Source organism: Homo sapiens, chromosome 16 (assembly GCF_000001405.40).
Source record: "Homo sapiens chromosome 16, GRCh38.p14 Primary Assembly".
NCBI lineage: Eukaryota > Metazoa > Chordata > Mammalia > Primates > Hominidae > Homo > Homo sapiens.
This window is the reverse complement of record NC_000016.10, coordinates 87,254,000-87,270,721: the sequence shown is the minus strand read 5'-3', so window position 1 is coordinate 87,270,721 and position 16,722 is coordinate 87,254,000. Positions and strand designations below refer to the sequence as shown.

Sequence of the window (16,722 nt, the reverse complement as noted above, 5' to 3'; positions counted from 1 at the left end):
GTTGCTCGCCAGAGTTTCCTCTCTGTACCTTGGGGATACCCCTTGCTTGGGTAGAGAGGAGGGAAATTACTTTCCTTCTTACCTCTCCATTCTTCTTGTGCACAGGCTTTGAAGGAATGAGAGAGAAGTGGGCCACTGCATTCTCATTCCTGTAAGGCTCTGTGCCAGGACTCGCCCCATCTGTATATTTTGAGCCTTTTATTATTAACCAAAGTGATCTTGATTGATAACAATACAAAGGCAAAGCTGGGAGTGCTCTGATTTCTAGCTTCAGCTCCTTATTCATTGATTCATTATTCATTATTGATTAATACATAATAATTCTTTATTTTATTTGCCTTATCAGTTCCTCACTCCTGGAAGGTTGGAGAAGGGAAGGGTGCTGCACAAATTTCTTCTTGGAATTTTAAATTTTACTTTTAAATTATGGATCCTTAATGACTCTTTTTCTAATAACTCCTGAATTCTTGTGATTCAACAGAGGGTATTAATTACAAATGTGTTTCTTTCTCCTTTTTTTGGCGGGGGTGGAGTCTTTATTTCTTTATAGATTGCTTTATAGATTATACAAGCCAGGCAGTAATTTATCTTCAAGGTTAAACATTCAGATAATTCTGAAGTTCAGAGAAAAAGGTGATATCCCCTTTCCTCCCCGGATAGTTGAAACCTGAATGGTTTAGATGGCTCCTTCCTGGGCACTTCTGCACGTGAACGGAGAGTAAGCCTTTTCTCACAGGTTGCCGCATCAGTGGAAAAGTCCCATACCTATTAATAGGTTCAATGGCATTTCCCAGCACCTGTTGTGTGTCAGGTGTAAAGCTGGGAGCTGCAGATTGAATAACGAACAAAAATGGGAGGCCGAGGCAGGCGGATCATGAGGTCAGGAGATGGAGACCATCCTGGCTAACATGGTGAAACCCCGTCTCTACTAAAAATACAAAAAATTAGCTGGGCGAGGTGGCGGGCACCTATAGTCCCAGCTACTCGGGAGGCTGAGGCAGGAGAATGGCATGAACCTGGGGGGAGGAGCCTGCAGTGAGCTGAGATCGCACCACTGCACTCCAGCCTGGGTGACAGCGAGACTCCGTCTCAAAAAAAAAGAAAAAAAGAAAAAATGGTCCCCTCCTTCCACAGCTCACAGGCTCCAGGCATATGATGCTGGAACTTAGTTTTTCCTTCCCATTTCACAATATATCTAGGATTTCTCCCCATGTCTGTCTGCCCTGTACTCTTTAATGTCCAGAGGCAACATTGAATTTTGATGGACCTCAAATTGACTTCTGATTGATTTGCCATTATTAAAAAGCAAAGCAGCAGAAGTCTTGGTTTACATCTCTTTGAGAACCTGAGTGTTTGATAAGATTTAAAGATTTTTTTGATGGCAGGACACACAGTACCCTGATAGGACAGGACACTATTACTTACAGCTGCAAATGGGAGCTGGCTGCCAGGCAGGGCCATGCAGGGGGCTGCACCCAAGGATGGGTAACAGTGAGCGGCTGTAGCCAGCAGCTTATATGTGGTCAGCGGAGTGTACTTAACCAGGTTTTGTGGGCTCCTGTGGACCAATTTGAAAAATTTTGTGGGCTCCAAAGCATAGGGCTATCCCTAGCTGTCAGGTACCTGGCCCTGGGGAGACAGGTAAGGTGTGTAGGGGCTCAGGGCATGAGCTCTGATAGGACAGTGGATGGAGCGTGGGCTTGTTCAAGAGGGGACTTGACAGCATCTCAAACTGGTTCAGGACAGAATTTTTATTTTATTTTATTTTTAAAAAATTATTTATTTATTTATTTATTTTTGAGACAGAGTCTTACTCTGTTGCCCAAACTGGATTGCAGTGGCATGGTCTTGGCTCACTGCAACCTCCACCTCCCAGATTCAAGTGATTCTTGTGCCTTAGTCTCCTGAGTAGCTGGGATTACAGGTGTGCACCACTACCCCCAGCTAATTTTTACATTTTTAGTAGAGACGGGGTTTCGCCATGTTTTCCAGGCTGGTCTCAAACTCCTGACCTCAACTGATTTGCCCGCCCTGGCCTCCCAAAGTGCTGGGATTACAGGCGTGAGCCACTGTGCCTGGCCAGGACAGGATTCTGAAGGAACACTGTATTACACCTGACCAATGCATGGTAGACTTTAAATGAGTCTCAACTGGGGGAATCACTGCATAGATTTCATTTTTTTTTTAAATCAAAGGTCTCACATATTTATTACTAAACCCAGCCAAACAACGTGTTCATAACAGATTCAGAGAAAAAAATACATATTCCCAATAAAACATGTCCAACTCTCCTGATAGTGGTGACATTTTCAGCTTGATATGGTAACATGATTGTGACCTTCAGACAGCATAAATGTGTGTGCCATCCAATGTGCAATTCCTAGTAGACCCAGTTTAGTTCTTCTCCAATGTCTCCTTTTGGAGTTGTACCTGATTTTATTACCAGTTTTCATCCAAATCCACTGAGGAATGGGACGATTTTGCTTTTGTTTCTTGGCCAGGAATCACTTAATTCTGAAAGTCTTCTGAGAAGACATAGCAAGAAGTGGAGTCAAGCACACATCATGATGGCAGAGAAAGGAAGGTGGGGGGCTACTCCATAGATTTCTGAGACTGACCTTCTTTCCTACGAAGCTTTACTCTCTACACTCATAGTCAGTGAATGACAAGTGGTATATCTGGTTCATTCCTGGGCATGAATGAAAAGAGAACAAACAAATCCATTTTCTGGGTAAGAACAGTAACAGCTCCCATTTGAATGTTGTCTTAACAGTTTATAAAACATCTTCAAGTACAAGCTCTCACTGAATCTTCACTGCAAACCTGTGAAGTGGGTAAGGATATTTCTGTCATCGAACAGATAAGGAAATAGAGGCTCAGAGAAGTCAAGAAACTGGCCCAGGGTTACACAGCTCAGAAGTGGAGAGCGAAGTCTTGAATTGGGGTTTTGTGGTGCTTCATCTATGAGCTTTCAATTTCAGCCATCATGGGTTGTAGCTTCTCTGCTCCGTGTTTGATCTTTGCTCCACGTGGGTATCTCTGGCTGTTGCCATGGGTCTGAAGAACATGCGCATGGTCACGTAGGACAACCACAGTCTTCAACAGAAAGCGCCATCTCTCTGCTTCATGCCCGTGGTTGATTTTATACCTGTAGCAAGGACACTTTCCTATTCTAGGGCTGCTGAGCCATGGCAACCTTGAAAGGTTATAATACCACAGTACGAACGATTTCCAAATGTCCCTTGTCAACGCCCAGCACAGCCCTAATACCTGGAGAAGTGAAGAAGGTTCCAGAGGAGGAAAGAAAGCCTTTGAATCATTTTGTCAGGCACATGTCACTCCACTTGAATTATTTTTCATGAAGGTGAATGCTTTTCAATCGTCCAAGGCAGGGGTCCATCACTTTCAAGCGCACTTGATGTGTTGCTGTTTTAAAAATTAAATACGCAGAGTTTGCAGAATGGACACGGCCTTTCGGTTTTTTAATTTAAGGTTTAAAAAGTGCTTTCACGCTGTAATCCCTGGGGGGACAGGAAAGGCTGTTTGCTCCAGCCCTTGGCCTCCAGGAAATCTGGCCAGACCACCTACGGGAAATTAGCCTCCAGCACTTGGCTTAGCTGGGAGGTGACAGCAGCCCCCTCTCTCCACTGTGGCCCTGCAGTCCGAGCTACATAATCTAATCTTTCAAGATATTTTTCTCTGGACAGGCAGGGAGCTGAGTAACTAAACAGACACACCACTGCTAATCCCTTTTTCCTGAGGCTGAAGGGTTTAACTCCTTGCCTTCTGTGTTAAGGCAGTGAGCTCAAAATGGGCTGTTGGGATTGACATCAGAATATTTTTTTTTTTTTGAGATGGAGTCTTGCTTTGTCGCCCAGGCTGGAGTGCAGTGGTGCGATCTCAGCTCACTGCAAGCCCCACCTCCTGGGTTCACGCCATTCTCCTGCCTCAGCCTCCCGAGTAGCTGGGACTACAGGCGCCCACCACCACGCCCGGCTAATTTTTTGTATTTTTAGTAGAGACGGGGTTTCACCATGTTAGCCAGGATGGTCTTCATCTCCTGACCTCGTGATCTGCCTGCCTCAGCCTCCCAAAGTGCTGGGATTACAGGCGTGAGCCACCGCGCCCGGCTGACGTCAGAATTTTTTAAGCAGCACTTGGTTTTGTGTTCTTTGTTCAAACAGAATAATCAGAGCCGACGCTCCTCGATTTCCCTGGACCTACCGTGTGTCTGGCACTGCTCTAAGTGCTTCAAATAGAGAAACTAGGTTACTCCTACCTCAAGAAGTGGGTACTATAATTATGCACAGAGATGTTAAGTACCTTGCCCAAGTTCACACAGTGGTGGGGAGTGGGTTCAAAGCCAGGCCACTGCATGGGAGTCTGTGCTCTTCATCCCTGTGCTGCTTGTTAAACAGGAAGAGCTCAAAATGGCTCTGAACTGTCCACTAGTCAATTTTCTTTCACTCATTGATTCATTCACTCGCTGTTTGTATTCAGCACCTGCAGTATGCAAATGCCAAGATGGTATAGATCGAGGCACTCATGGTCTTCCCAGAAGCTGACAGCCAGCTGTGGAAATGAACAAATCCATAACTAATTATGCTGCAGAAGGCAGAGGGCACCCATAGCTGTGCTGGAGCCAGCGGAGCAAGGGGAACTTTTAGCCCAGAGGAAGCAGGAGAGCCAGGGAAGGCTTTCCTGCAGGGTCAGGAGGAGGGAGAGATGGCACCTTCCAGGATGAGGTGATGGGGTGCATTCAGGGCAGTGCACTCTGGGAAACTCCCTGGGCCCAGCTGGTATTGCCCCCTCCCTTGGAAGCTGGTGATCAGCATGGGGCCTACAAGAGGGAGTAGAGCCACGGCAGAGAGGAACCTATGTTTTATTAGCTTGGCATGGGCAGGGTCTTAATCAGACTCTCTTGAAAAGGCAGGTCAAATGAAGGATTTCACCTGACCTTATAGGTCAATGTCTTTGGAGACAGCATTTCCAGGTATTATATGGTGCAGAGGGGTCCCTCGTGACACCGCGTGATGTAGGACTCTATTTCTGCTTGTCAAAGTATGCGTAGACTGCCCCGACAAAGGCTTCTCTAGACAGCTCATCAGCTTTTGCTGTGAGGCTCAGCTGGCTTTATTTCCCTCCCCCTAGAAGACTCTGGGGCTCCAGTAAAGCCCCTCCCACTCCAGGACACAGGCTGGGGGCAGGTTCTTGACCCTCATCCATCACAGTGCATCTGCTTGCTGGTGTAGGATGTGAGTGGGTTCCAGCTGGTTCCATCCCAGTGGCAGCAGACAAACCATCCCTGCATTCTCTTGCCATGGTCTCAGCCTGGGGTGGCACATGGAGCGACCCCGGTGGAATGCCCCTTGCTTCAAGCTGAGGCTGAGATGTTTTCCTTCAGCTTGGCAGAGCTAATGCTGAAAGCTGCTCTCAGCCTGCTGGGTTTAGAGGCCAATAGGCTCTGCAACAGGGGAGCACAAAGATATTTGGAACTGGAAGTTGCTGTCTGTTGTTTTGAAAGGTGCAAAATGTTTAAATAATTACTTCCAAACCTGGAGACCACTTTCCTCCTCCCACCTGAGCTGGGCGCTCCTTCCTCCAGATTTGGCCTCCCTTTTGATTTCTCCCTGCTCGATTTCCTTCCCCGTCTTTATAGCCCCTTTCTTCCACCTGGTTTCTCCTTTGCTCCCCTGCCTCCCACTTGGAGCTTGGAGTGATTTCTAAGGGTGCCTCATTAACAACTTGGATATCTCTTGACTACTTCTTTCTTCTCTTGTTTGTTTTCACTGTTTCTCTTAAATAACCATGTGGACGGGGCCCTGTTTGTTTTTCTTGCCTAGTGTCTCCCTGCCAGTCAGTTCTTCAGCAAACAAAGGCTTTGTGAGTCCCCAGGGCTTGCCAAGATGAGAGGGAAGGGAAGAGCTTTTCCCAGAGGAGAGGATTCCATCAGACACACCTGGGGAAAGGGCCCATTTGGAAGTGCTCTTTTCCAGGTGGTGGAACGTGTGGAACAGCTGTCATGTATAGATCAGGAAGCTGGGGGGCCAGTTGTGCAGGGTCACACAGTCCATGATGCAAGTGGTGTGAATCCATGGTCTGTCTACCCCAGCACCGTCCTACAGAAACATAATATGATCCACACGTGTGATTTGAAATTTTTCAGCAGCCACATTCTAAAAAGTGAAAGTGAAATTACATTTATTTATTTATTTATTTATTTATTTATTTATTTTGAGATGGAGCCTCACTCTGTCGCCCAGGCTGGAGTGCAGTGGTACAATCTTGGCTCACTGCAACCTCCGCCTCCTGGGTTCAAGTGTTTCTTCTGCCTCAGTCTCCTCAGTAGCTGGGATTACAGGCACGTACCACCATGCCTGGCTAATTTTTGTATTTTTAGTAGAGATGGGGTCTCCCCATGTTGCTCAGGTTGGTCTCAAACTCCTGGCTTCAAGTGATCTGCCAGCCTCGGCCTCCCAAAGTGCTGGGATTACAGATGTGAACCACTGCACCCGGCTGAAATTAATTTTAATAATATATTTTATTTAACTCATCGTATCCAAAGTATTACCCTGTCCACATGTAAGCAACAGTGGAATATTAATGAGATATTTACATTCTCTTTTTCATATGAAGCCTTTGAAATCCAGTGTGTGACTTATTCTGAGGGCATGTCTCAGTTCCAGCTGTGTTTCAGGTGCTCTGAAGCCACAGTACGAACCATTTTCTGCACCACGGTGTTTACGACGCCTTCTGTGTTCCTCATCCTTAGTTCCTGTGGGAGCCTGTGTCTGTGTGGCTTAGTGGGGCTGGTGCTGACTCCGGGGCTGGTGCTGACTCTAGGGCTGGACAGCGCCATCTGAATCCTGCACCGCCTCTGGGTGGTTTGGGATTCTTTGAATCTCAGCCACGTGCTTCCCCTACTTTTTCTCTTACACCCTTCACAGTTCTGCAGTGGGCCTTTCTCTTTTACAAACGAGGTAACTGAGGCTCAGAGGGGAAGAGCTGCTGACTCACCCAAGGTCACACAGTACGTGGCAAGGTGGGGACAGAAAAAAAATCCCTTCCATCCAGGTCACCTGACGCCAAGCCCTGCCCTCCTGATGACGTGGTTTGCAGTGTCAGGTCCTAGAAGCTTTATGGGTTCCTGGATGCCCGATGCCCTTTGTATCCACTTCTGAGACATTCTGGGTTTCCCCGGCTCAGGGCAAGCAGCAGGACTCAGCCTTCCACTGAGGGCCCCCTTTTGCCAAGCCCCGGGACTGGTTGTCCAGCTTCCCCTGTGCCCAGTGCTCAGGGAATGCCCTGGCAGGCTGGTGGGGATAGTGCGTGAGAATGCACCAGGGTGTCAGATTCTTCCTCAAGGGAACAGTTACTAAAGAATAGGTCACCAACCGGGCACGGTGGCTCACACACCTGTAATCCCAGTACGTTGGGAGGCTGAGGCAGGAGGATCCCTTGAGCCCAGGAGTTTGAGACCAGCCTGAGCAACACAGCAAGACCCATCTCTAGAAAAAAAATACAAAAATAAGCTGGGGATGGTGATGCACACCTGTAGTTCCAGCTATTTGGGAGGCTGAGGTGGGGAGGACTGCATGACCCCAGGAGGTCTAGGCTGCAGTGGGCCACGGTCATGCCACTGCACTCCAGCCTGGGCAAGAGAGCAAGTCCTGTCTCAAAAAAAAAAAAAGAAAGAAAAGAATGGGTCAGCATCCAGTGATAGAATCTAACATTTATGGAACAATTACTATGCACAATGAACCGGGCAGGAGATTATAGATCCCCCTCACACGGTATCCCTTTGATGTGTTCCGCCTGCAGTCTGGGAGCTGGCGCAGGATACCTCTCTGGAGTGTGTACATCATGTCATGTCTGTGTGAAATCAGCTGGGCTGGTGGCATTCACACCACAGCAATTGGCAAATGCTGCGAATCAGGGTTCCCTGACTTAAAAGCCGGCTGTTGAACACTGGCCTGCACACCACTGCGTCTTCCCAGAGTAGTATCAGCTGAGCCTCTTGATTTTGTGGAAGGAAAGCTGAAGCAGCATGAGAAGTTCAAGTTCAGTGTAAAACCTGCCTGTGACCATTTCAAGGTATTTTTTTAATCAACAAGGTAAAATTAATTTCAGACCCTTTCCTTGTCAAAGACAAAGAAAAAAAAGAAAAGTGGTCATGTATGTTCTTAGTCTTTCACTTTTATTTGCCTAGAGTGACCCTGTTTTTTTTTATTTCTCGAGAACTTTATTATATATTTTAATAGCAAAAAATATGACTTTAGAACAATGGGGAAATATTGAAAGCATATCATAAAAATATTAAGTTGTCCTTAGGGGCAAATTTGCACACATGTGGATTAGTAGTTTTATAAAATATATAATGTAACTATTTTTTTTGATGCTAATTAAATACACCAGTCACTGAAAAACTTTTTTTTTTAAATAAAGAGATTAGTCCTTTATGTGAACTCACTTTACCTAGGTTTCTAATTTGGAAAGCAAGAAAACGGGAAGATATAAGAGAAAAAAAGGTGAAAACATTACTTTTCCTATTGATGTAATGCTACTGAGCTTCAACATCATCTTTGGAATCAGAGAATTCTGCTTGCACATTTTGTTTTCTTTCTAGTCATTTATTCAACAAATATCTGAGTCAGACTTTGTGCTAGGAACTGGGGAAACCCCAGAGAATAAGACCAATGTGGTCCCAGCTCACATAGGCCTGAGCCCAGGAGGGGAGATGGACGAATGCTGTAGAACCACAACGTGGTTAGAATTGTAAGGGGAAGGTGCAGGTGCACGTGAGTTTGTGAAAGGGAGCCCTAAGCTAGTAGAGGGCGAGATTGGTGTCTGCGCCCTGGGGCGTTGTCCCTGGAAAGTCATGCTTATGCTGAAACCTGAGGAAGGAAGGAGATGGCTGGTGAAGAGCAGAGGGAAGGATGTTGTAGGTTGGGGGAACAGCGTGTGCCAGTAGGAGGGTTAGCATTTGCGAAGACCCTGAGGATGGAAGGCGCTTGGTGAGTTTGACTCAAGTCTGCCCCAGGTATAAAGTGATGGAGAAAGCCCCTCGTGGGAGGCCTAAGCTGTGGAAGGAGCCATATCCTTCAGTGCCCCGTCCGCACCCAACTGCCCAGTGGGCAGGCTTCGTGCCATGGTTGCCTGTGTTGTTAGATGCCGGGTTTCCATCCCAGAAGGCAGACCTGGAACTGGGTGTGTGGAGAATCCTGGGAGCAGCATGGAGAAAGGGTGTCTTCCCGTGACAGCCTCTCCTCCTCTCCTGTGAGCACCATGAACCCCTGGCAGGGCTCTTCCTCCACTGGGCAATGCCTGGCTCTGGTTGTCTGCTGTGCTGTGCAGCTCCTGGCACACAGATTTAGCTTGGTGGTTGTGTCACATTCTGTTAGTACTTTACCCACTATCCATCCCTCCTTTTCCTTTTTGCCAAAACTGTGCCTTAGTCAGAGCACCCAGCCCCACTGCTGGTCCGTGGTATGGTTTGGTCCCCACCCGAATCCCATGTCGAATTGTAATCCTTAGTGTTGGAGGAGAGGCCTGATGGAAGGTGATTGGATCATGGGGGCGGACTTCCCCCTTGCTGTTCTCGTGATAGTGAGTTCTCATGAGATCTCGTTGTTTGAAAGTGTGTAGCACCTCCCTCTTGCCTCTCTCTCTCCTGCTGCCATGTGAAGATGTGCCTGCTTTCCTTTCGCCTTCCACCATGACTGTAAGTTTCCTGAGGCCTCCCCAGTTATGCTCCCTGTACAGCCTGTGGAACTGTGAGTCAATTCAACCTCTTTTCTTTATAAATTACCCAGTCTCAGATAGTTCCTTATAGTAATGTGAGAATGAGCTAATACAGACCATGACCTGTCTGACCCTGCAGCCCCCATTCATAAGTGAAGTATTATTGGAACGCAGCCACCCTCATTCACTGAGGGGCTGTCTGTGTCTGCTTTTGCATTACAACAACAGGGTTGAGTAGTTTTTGTTTGTTTGTTTGCTTAATTTGGGAAGGAGAGCTTTATTTCTCATAAAGGGTTGCAGCCTGCAGGGTGGCCAGTCTGACAGGCTGGGAAGCAGAAACAGATACTTCAAGGGAGGGGAAAAGGGAACAGGAATTTATGTAGAGCAGGGAGGCCAAATATACATATTCAATAAGCTATAGGAGGAGTCATGAATATTTATGAAAGGAGAAACACACGTGCACGATTGAGCTTCATGCTCCTTCGTGGGCTCCATGTAGAAAAAATGGCGGCCTTGGCGTAATCTGAGGGTGGAGTTTGCAGCGCTGTGACGTCAAGGGTGAAGTGGAGGACAGGAAAACCCTCACTGCGCATCCTCCATACACTGGCAAGAACCACTCCGTGGTCGGTGGTCTCTTATCAGGCAAAAAGGAGGGGCAGCATCAGGCTGTAGGTTGATGTCAGCGGTGGAGGCTTTTGTAAGGACTGCTTTCTGTTTAGCCCTTAGGGGAGAAAGCGTGATCATGGCTAGTGAGGGAGGGGTATAACGAGTGTGTCTGACCCTCCACGCCATCATGGCTGAGAACTCAGTTTTCAAGTTTGCTCTGGGGTCCAGGGTTGAGTAGTTTTGATGGAAACTTTTACTTCCTCTTCCGAAGTATTATTGTTATTTATTTATTTATTTATTTATTTATTTATTTATTGAGATGAGGTCTCGCTCTGTCACCCAGGCTGGAGTGCATTGGCATGATCACGGCTCATGGCAGCCTGGAATTCCTGGGCTCAAGTGATCCTCATGCCTTGCTCTCCCAAAGTGCTGGGACCACAGGGCTTAGCTACCACGACCAACCTCCAATTATTTTGGAGGCCCACAAATTTCTACCATCTGGTCCTTTATGAAAACGTTTGCTGCCCCTGATCTGAGTCAACCATGATGATCCTGTACTCGGATTTTCTGGTGTCCCTGGTGGCTGGTGCGCAGACCTGGAGTGTGAAACATTGAATGAGTTCAGTAGCTTCCCTGAATCTCCATCTGGATCTGTGCACACTCTACGTACGTTATTTCAGATGATAGTCACAACAGCCTGTGAGGCAGGCACTATTGTTATCTGAGAGCTGAGGAGATGGAGGAACAGAGAGGCCTAGTAACCCACCTGAGATCACACAGCTTGTGAATGGTAGCTGGGATTTTTTTTTTTTTTTTTTTTGAGACAAGGGCTTGCTCTGTTGCTCAGGCTGGAGTGCAGTGGTGCAATCTTGGCTCCTGACCTTTCACAGAAGATCCGTTAGCATGGAGTAGGAGTTAAGCTCAGGGGCTTTAGGGTCTAACCGCCGGAATTGAAATCCTAGTTCTACTGCTTACTGAGCCTCAGTCTCCCTATCTGTTGAATAGGGAAATAACATCGGGAACTCACCGGGCTCCTGAAAGGGTTAGGTGGCTGATGATAGGATAAACACTTGGTATATAGTAAGTGGCCAATAAAACCAGCCATGATCGTTCACTCAAACCCAGTCTTTGGCAAAAAGAAAAATACAAGCTTAAACTCAACCGTGTGTTGAGTCATTTGTTAGGTCAGTACAAAAGTAAAAGTAATCACGGTTTACTTTTGCACCAACCTGATATTAAAAAATAACTGGAGGCTGGGCATGGTGGTTCCCATGTGTAATCCCAGCACTTTAGGAAGCTGAGGTGGGAGGATAGCTTGAGACTAGGAGTTGGAGACTGCACCACTGCACTCCAGCCTGGGTGATGGAACAACAACCCACCTCTTAAAGGAAAAAAAAAAAAGACCAAAAAACAAAAAACTGGGAAGAGGAAGTAAAAACCATTGCGTGGAGTCCAGTGTGGGGTGAACCCTTGACCTGTGAGTCCCAGTTTTATCAGTTTTTTCCTTTTTTTTTTTTTTTTGAGACAGAGTCTCACTTTGTCACCCAGGCTAGAGTGCAGTGGTACAATCATAGCTCACTGTAGCCTTGACCTCCTGGGCTCAAGGGATTCTCTAACCTCAGCCTCCTGAGTAGTTGGGACTACAGGAACATGCCACCATGCCCAGCTAATTTTTGTATTTTTTGTAGAGACGGGGTTTCGCCATGTTGCCCAGGCTACTCTCGAGCCCCTAGGGCCTCAGCCTCCCAAGGTCCTGGGATTACAGGCGTGAGCCACCATGCCTGGCCCCCTGTTTCATCTTTTAAAAAAATTTTAAACTTTTTCCTGGCCTTCCCGACTCACGCACCAATCCCAATTTTGTCTCGTTCATTTCGATAAGAGGTAAGAGGGGTGCTTTGTTACTCCCACTTTTCTGCAGAGGAAAGTGAGGCTTAGAAAGGAACATTCTCTAGCTTGTGGTCTTTAGTGGGTGAGTGGCAGGTGGGCGCTGTGTGTGGAGTCCCGACCTTGCCCTCTGTGCCCAAAGTGGACAGCAGGTGGGCGCTATGTGACCCGTCCCAGCCCTGCCAGCAGAATCCACAATGATTTTTAATTCTCTCTGCAAAGAAGTGGAAATCCAGGCCTGAGTCACCTGCCAAGGACCACAGTGGGAGTTAAATCTGAACCCAGAGCAGCACTGGGAGCCATGGGGTTTGTGGTGTGAGGCCAAGGTTACCAGTTCAGGCCTCATGTTTTTGGCCTATGAATTTCTGTGGAGTCCGTTAATAAGCAAATGGATCTATTTAAGTGAAAACGCTTAGAGGCAGGGAATTTAATTACTCAATGACTTTTTCTTTCTTTTTTATCACTGAAATTAATTAAAAAATAATTTTGAAATGTATGGCTGACACTTTGCCAGGAACATGCTATGTGTAAAATCATTCCTCTCTACATCACGTATTCATAAATTCATTTTCATGAATTCATGTATTCAGACTGGTCACCTGTTTCCATAGATCATTTGGAGCCCACCTTCAGGGATGTTTTTTTTTCCTCAAACAAATTAAGATTTTAACTTTTCCTTGAGGGAATAAAATCCTGACTGACACACACAGACTCACATTATCTATCATCTATCTATCTATCTATCTAGTATATATTTATGAATGTGCATATATGTACTCCGTATGGATGAGTATATACATTCAAATTATCTTGATACAGTTTTTTTTTTTTTTTTTTTGAGATCTCGCTCTGTCGCCCAGACTGGAGTGCAGTGGCACGATCTTGGCTCATTGGAACCTCCGCCTCCCAGGTTCAAGCGATTCTCCTGCCTCAGCGTCCCACGTAGCTGGGATTACAGACACATGCCACCGTGCCTGGCTAATTTTTGTATTTTTAGTAGAGACAAGGTTTTGCCATATTGGCCGGGCTGGTCTCAAACTCCTGACCTCAGGTGATTTGCCTGCCTTGGCCTCCCAAAGTGCTGGATTACAGTATGAGCCACCTCGCCTGGCCCCTCTTAAAACTTTTTTCTACCTACTACCTAAAGTATACATACTTATTAAAGAAACGCATTTCCGTCTTTTCAATAGGCAACCCTGTTAAATGTGGTGTCTTTCTTTCTTGTGAGTATCTGTTTTTTGGTGCCTCAGTATGCATACTTACAGTTTTATATTTTGCTTTTTTTGCTTGAAATTATAAGCATTTCCCCAGGTATTACACAATCTTTAAATTATTTTTGGTGGCTGCCTGATAGTTCATCAATTAGATACTTAGGTTAATTAATCACATTCCTATTATTGAACCTTGAGCTGCTTCTAACTTTTCAATATTACCAATAACATAAAGCCATAAATAGCATAGTATAACATATTTTCTCCCCTCATTTAGTATTATTTTCTTAGGGATAGATTCCCCAAAGTGGGATTTCTGGATCAAAGAATGTGAACATTTTCCTACATTTTTTTATTTTTATTTTTAGATTTTTTTTTTTTTTTTTTTTGAGACATGGTTTTGCTCTGTGTCCCAGGCTGGAGTGCAGTGGAAATCACAGCTCACTTGACCTCCTGGCCTCAAGTGATCCTCCTGCCTCAGTCTCCCAAAGTACTGGGATTACAGGTGTGAGCTACCACGCCTAGCAGAGTATGAATATTTTGGAGGCTCCAAAAATAACAAGAATAAAAATCATGACAGGAATTGATGTTTATTGGCATCACTGTCAATGGACGGGCCCTGCACTCCATCTTTTTATCAGCATGAGCTCGCTGACCTTTCACAAAACCCCTCTGAGGAAGGTCCTGTGCTCCCTGAGCTCAGTGAGACCCTGCATCTGGGGTGGCTGAGCCAGACCTGAATCCACATGCTTCACCACTGCCACTGGGCCTCCCGCTTGTTTACAACTTGGCCGTGTCTACACATCACCAGCTTTGCATTTTATTTTTTAATTAATTTTTTTTTTTTTTTCTGAGACAGGGTCTCGTTCTGTTACTCAGGCTGGAGAGCAGTGGCATGATCCCAGCTCACTGCAACCTCTGCCTTCCAGGCTCAAGCCATCCTCCTGCCATAACCTCATGATTAGCTGGAGCTGCAGGTATGTGCCACCATGCCTGCCTAATTAAATTTTTTTTTTTTTTTTTTTTTTAGAGATGGGGGTCTCACTATGTTGCCCAGGCTGGTCTCGAACTTCTGGCCTCAAGCGATACTCCTGCCTTGGCCTTCCAAATTGTTGAGATTACAGGCATGAGCCACCGCGCCGGGCCCAGCTTTGCATTTTATGGAACAATCGAGGGTTGCAATGAGGAGCTGTGTTGCTTCAGCCTGGAGTAGGGTCCTTCCCAGGAGGCACTGCAGTAACAAAACGAGGCACCTGCTCAGCTGGGCTGGGCCCCTCAGGCGGGGTCCTTCTTCCGAGCCGAGATTGGGGTGTCTGCGCATCTCAGGGGTCCTTCTTCCGAGCCGAGGTTAGGGTGGCTCTGTGTCTCACAGCAGCCATAGCAAAGTGCCATACATCTGGAGGCTTAGAACAAGAGGAATTTATTGTCTCACAGTTCTGGGGACCTGAAGTCCAGAGCGGAGCTGTCAGTGGGGCCGGTTCCTGGTTGTTACGGCCCCTTTAACAATGTGGGCACCTCTTAGGTTGTTCCCTGCCCAGCTTGGGAGTGGTGGCTTTGGTGAGACGCAGCGGCTGCAGCTGTGATCTGGCCCCGCATGCACAGAGATACCCCTGTCCTCTCCTTCCTCTCTGCTGCCTCCTCCATCCCTTCCTCTGTCTGGAGCTTTTCAGGCACGAATGCATCAACCAGACAAGCAAGGGTCAGAGAGAGGAACGTGTAAAAGCAAAGAAGGAGAAGCTGGCCCTCCCTGCCTACCTGCCCGAGAGAGAAGGTGCCGCTCTGTGGTTTTGCGGTGCGGGGAGGGGGTGTGAGAACACCAACCCGGTGTGGGGCTCAGTGAGGAAGGATGTGCCAGGAAGAGCAGGTAAACTCTCACCACTGTTTCAAGAGCCCCCAAATCCAGCTCCAGGAGGACCCCCTGTGTTGCCCTGTAAAATGTTGAACTGACCTCCTCTGAGAATCCACCCACTCAGCACATAATTATGGAGGCCCACCTGGTGCCAGGCCCATGGGCCCCAGCAGTGACCACAGCAGCCCCCAGCCTTGTGCCTGTGGACCTCCGATCCTCAGCCAACAACCCCCATGGCATGGATTCATGTCCCGTGGTTGCAGAAACGGGGCTTACAATAACACGAATCAATTCTTTCACAGTTCAGAAAGCCAGAAGTCACATTTCAAGGTGCCACATGCCCTCTGAAACCTGTGGGGAAAATCTGATCTGTGCCCTTTTCTCGGCTTCTTGTATGGCCGGCAGTCCTTGGCGTTCCTCGGATGGTGGCTTCGTCACTCCAGTCCTGGCTCTGTCTCCATGTGGCCTCTCCCCCCGTGTCTGTGTCCTCTCTTCTTACAAAGACAGCAGTCGTTGGATGAGGGCCCACCCCCCTCCAGTATGATCTTGTCTTCATTTCATCACATCTGCAAAGACCCTCTTCCAAATAAGGTCACGTCACAGGTACCAGCGGTTTAGGGCTTGGGTATGTCTTTGGGGACATGATTAAGCCCACCAATGGAGAAAATAAAGCAGGGAGAGGCAGTGCCAGGGTTGAAGGGGGAGCGTGATTTTGGAATCAGGGCTGCTCCAAGCATTGGCACGGTGTGTCTGAGGCACCAACATCCCCATGCCCGTGGCCTTACGGTCCAGGACAAGAGTGACCCACCTGCTTGTGACCCAGTGAGTACTGCTGCCCATCCCCACCCCCTTTTCATTTTATTCTTTCCCTTTGAAGCTGAGATGAAAGCCCCCGAGGGTGTCATTTGGTCACCAAGACCCCCTCTCCGCCTCCCACTTTCTTGCCCCTTCTTTGCGGCCCGACACTTGCCTGGCTTTGCAGGGCAGGGCTCTTTTCAGCCTGGGCTTCAGGTGAGAAGTTGACACATTCCCACTAAAGCTGCCTCATAAAAGCTGGAACTATATTGAGCAAAGGATTCCATCTCCTGTCCTCCGCCAGCGGCAGTGTGTACCCGGCTTTCATTCCTGGCCAAGTACTCCAGGGAGGTAGCACTGCAAACCATGTTTCTGAATAAATGTTTGCACCGTATAATTTTCCTTTGGTGTAAAGCATTCCGTGCATGCAGCAAGAAAGGTAGAAATAAAGCCAGTCTGGCTGCACAAAGACAGTGAATCTACGAGACTGAGGAAGGAGGAAAGAGGACGGACACTGAAGGAGGGAGGTTCACTGTGGCTGCTTTGGATGCCCATTGGGGTTCCTTGTCCTTGCTGTGGAGCGGTGAAACAGGGCACCCCAGGATGTATTTCCGGAGGGTGGAGAGAGGGACACAT

At 47.4% G+C, this 16,722-nt stretch overlaps 1 pseudogene; it reads right to left on the bottom strand.

Moving 5' to 3' along the window:
• On the bottom strand, positions 2,187-2,591 carry RPL39P30 (ribosomal protein L39 pseudogene 30; annotated as a pseudogene).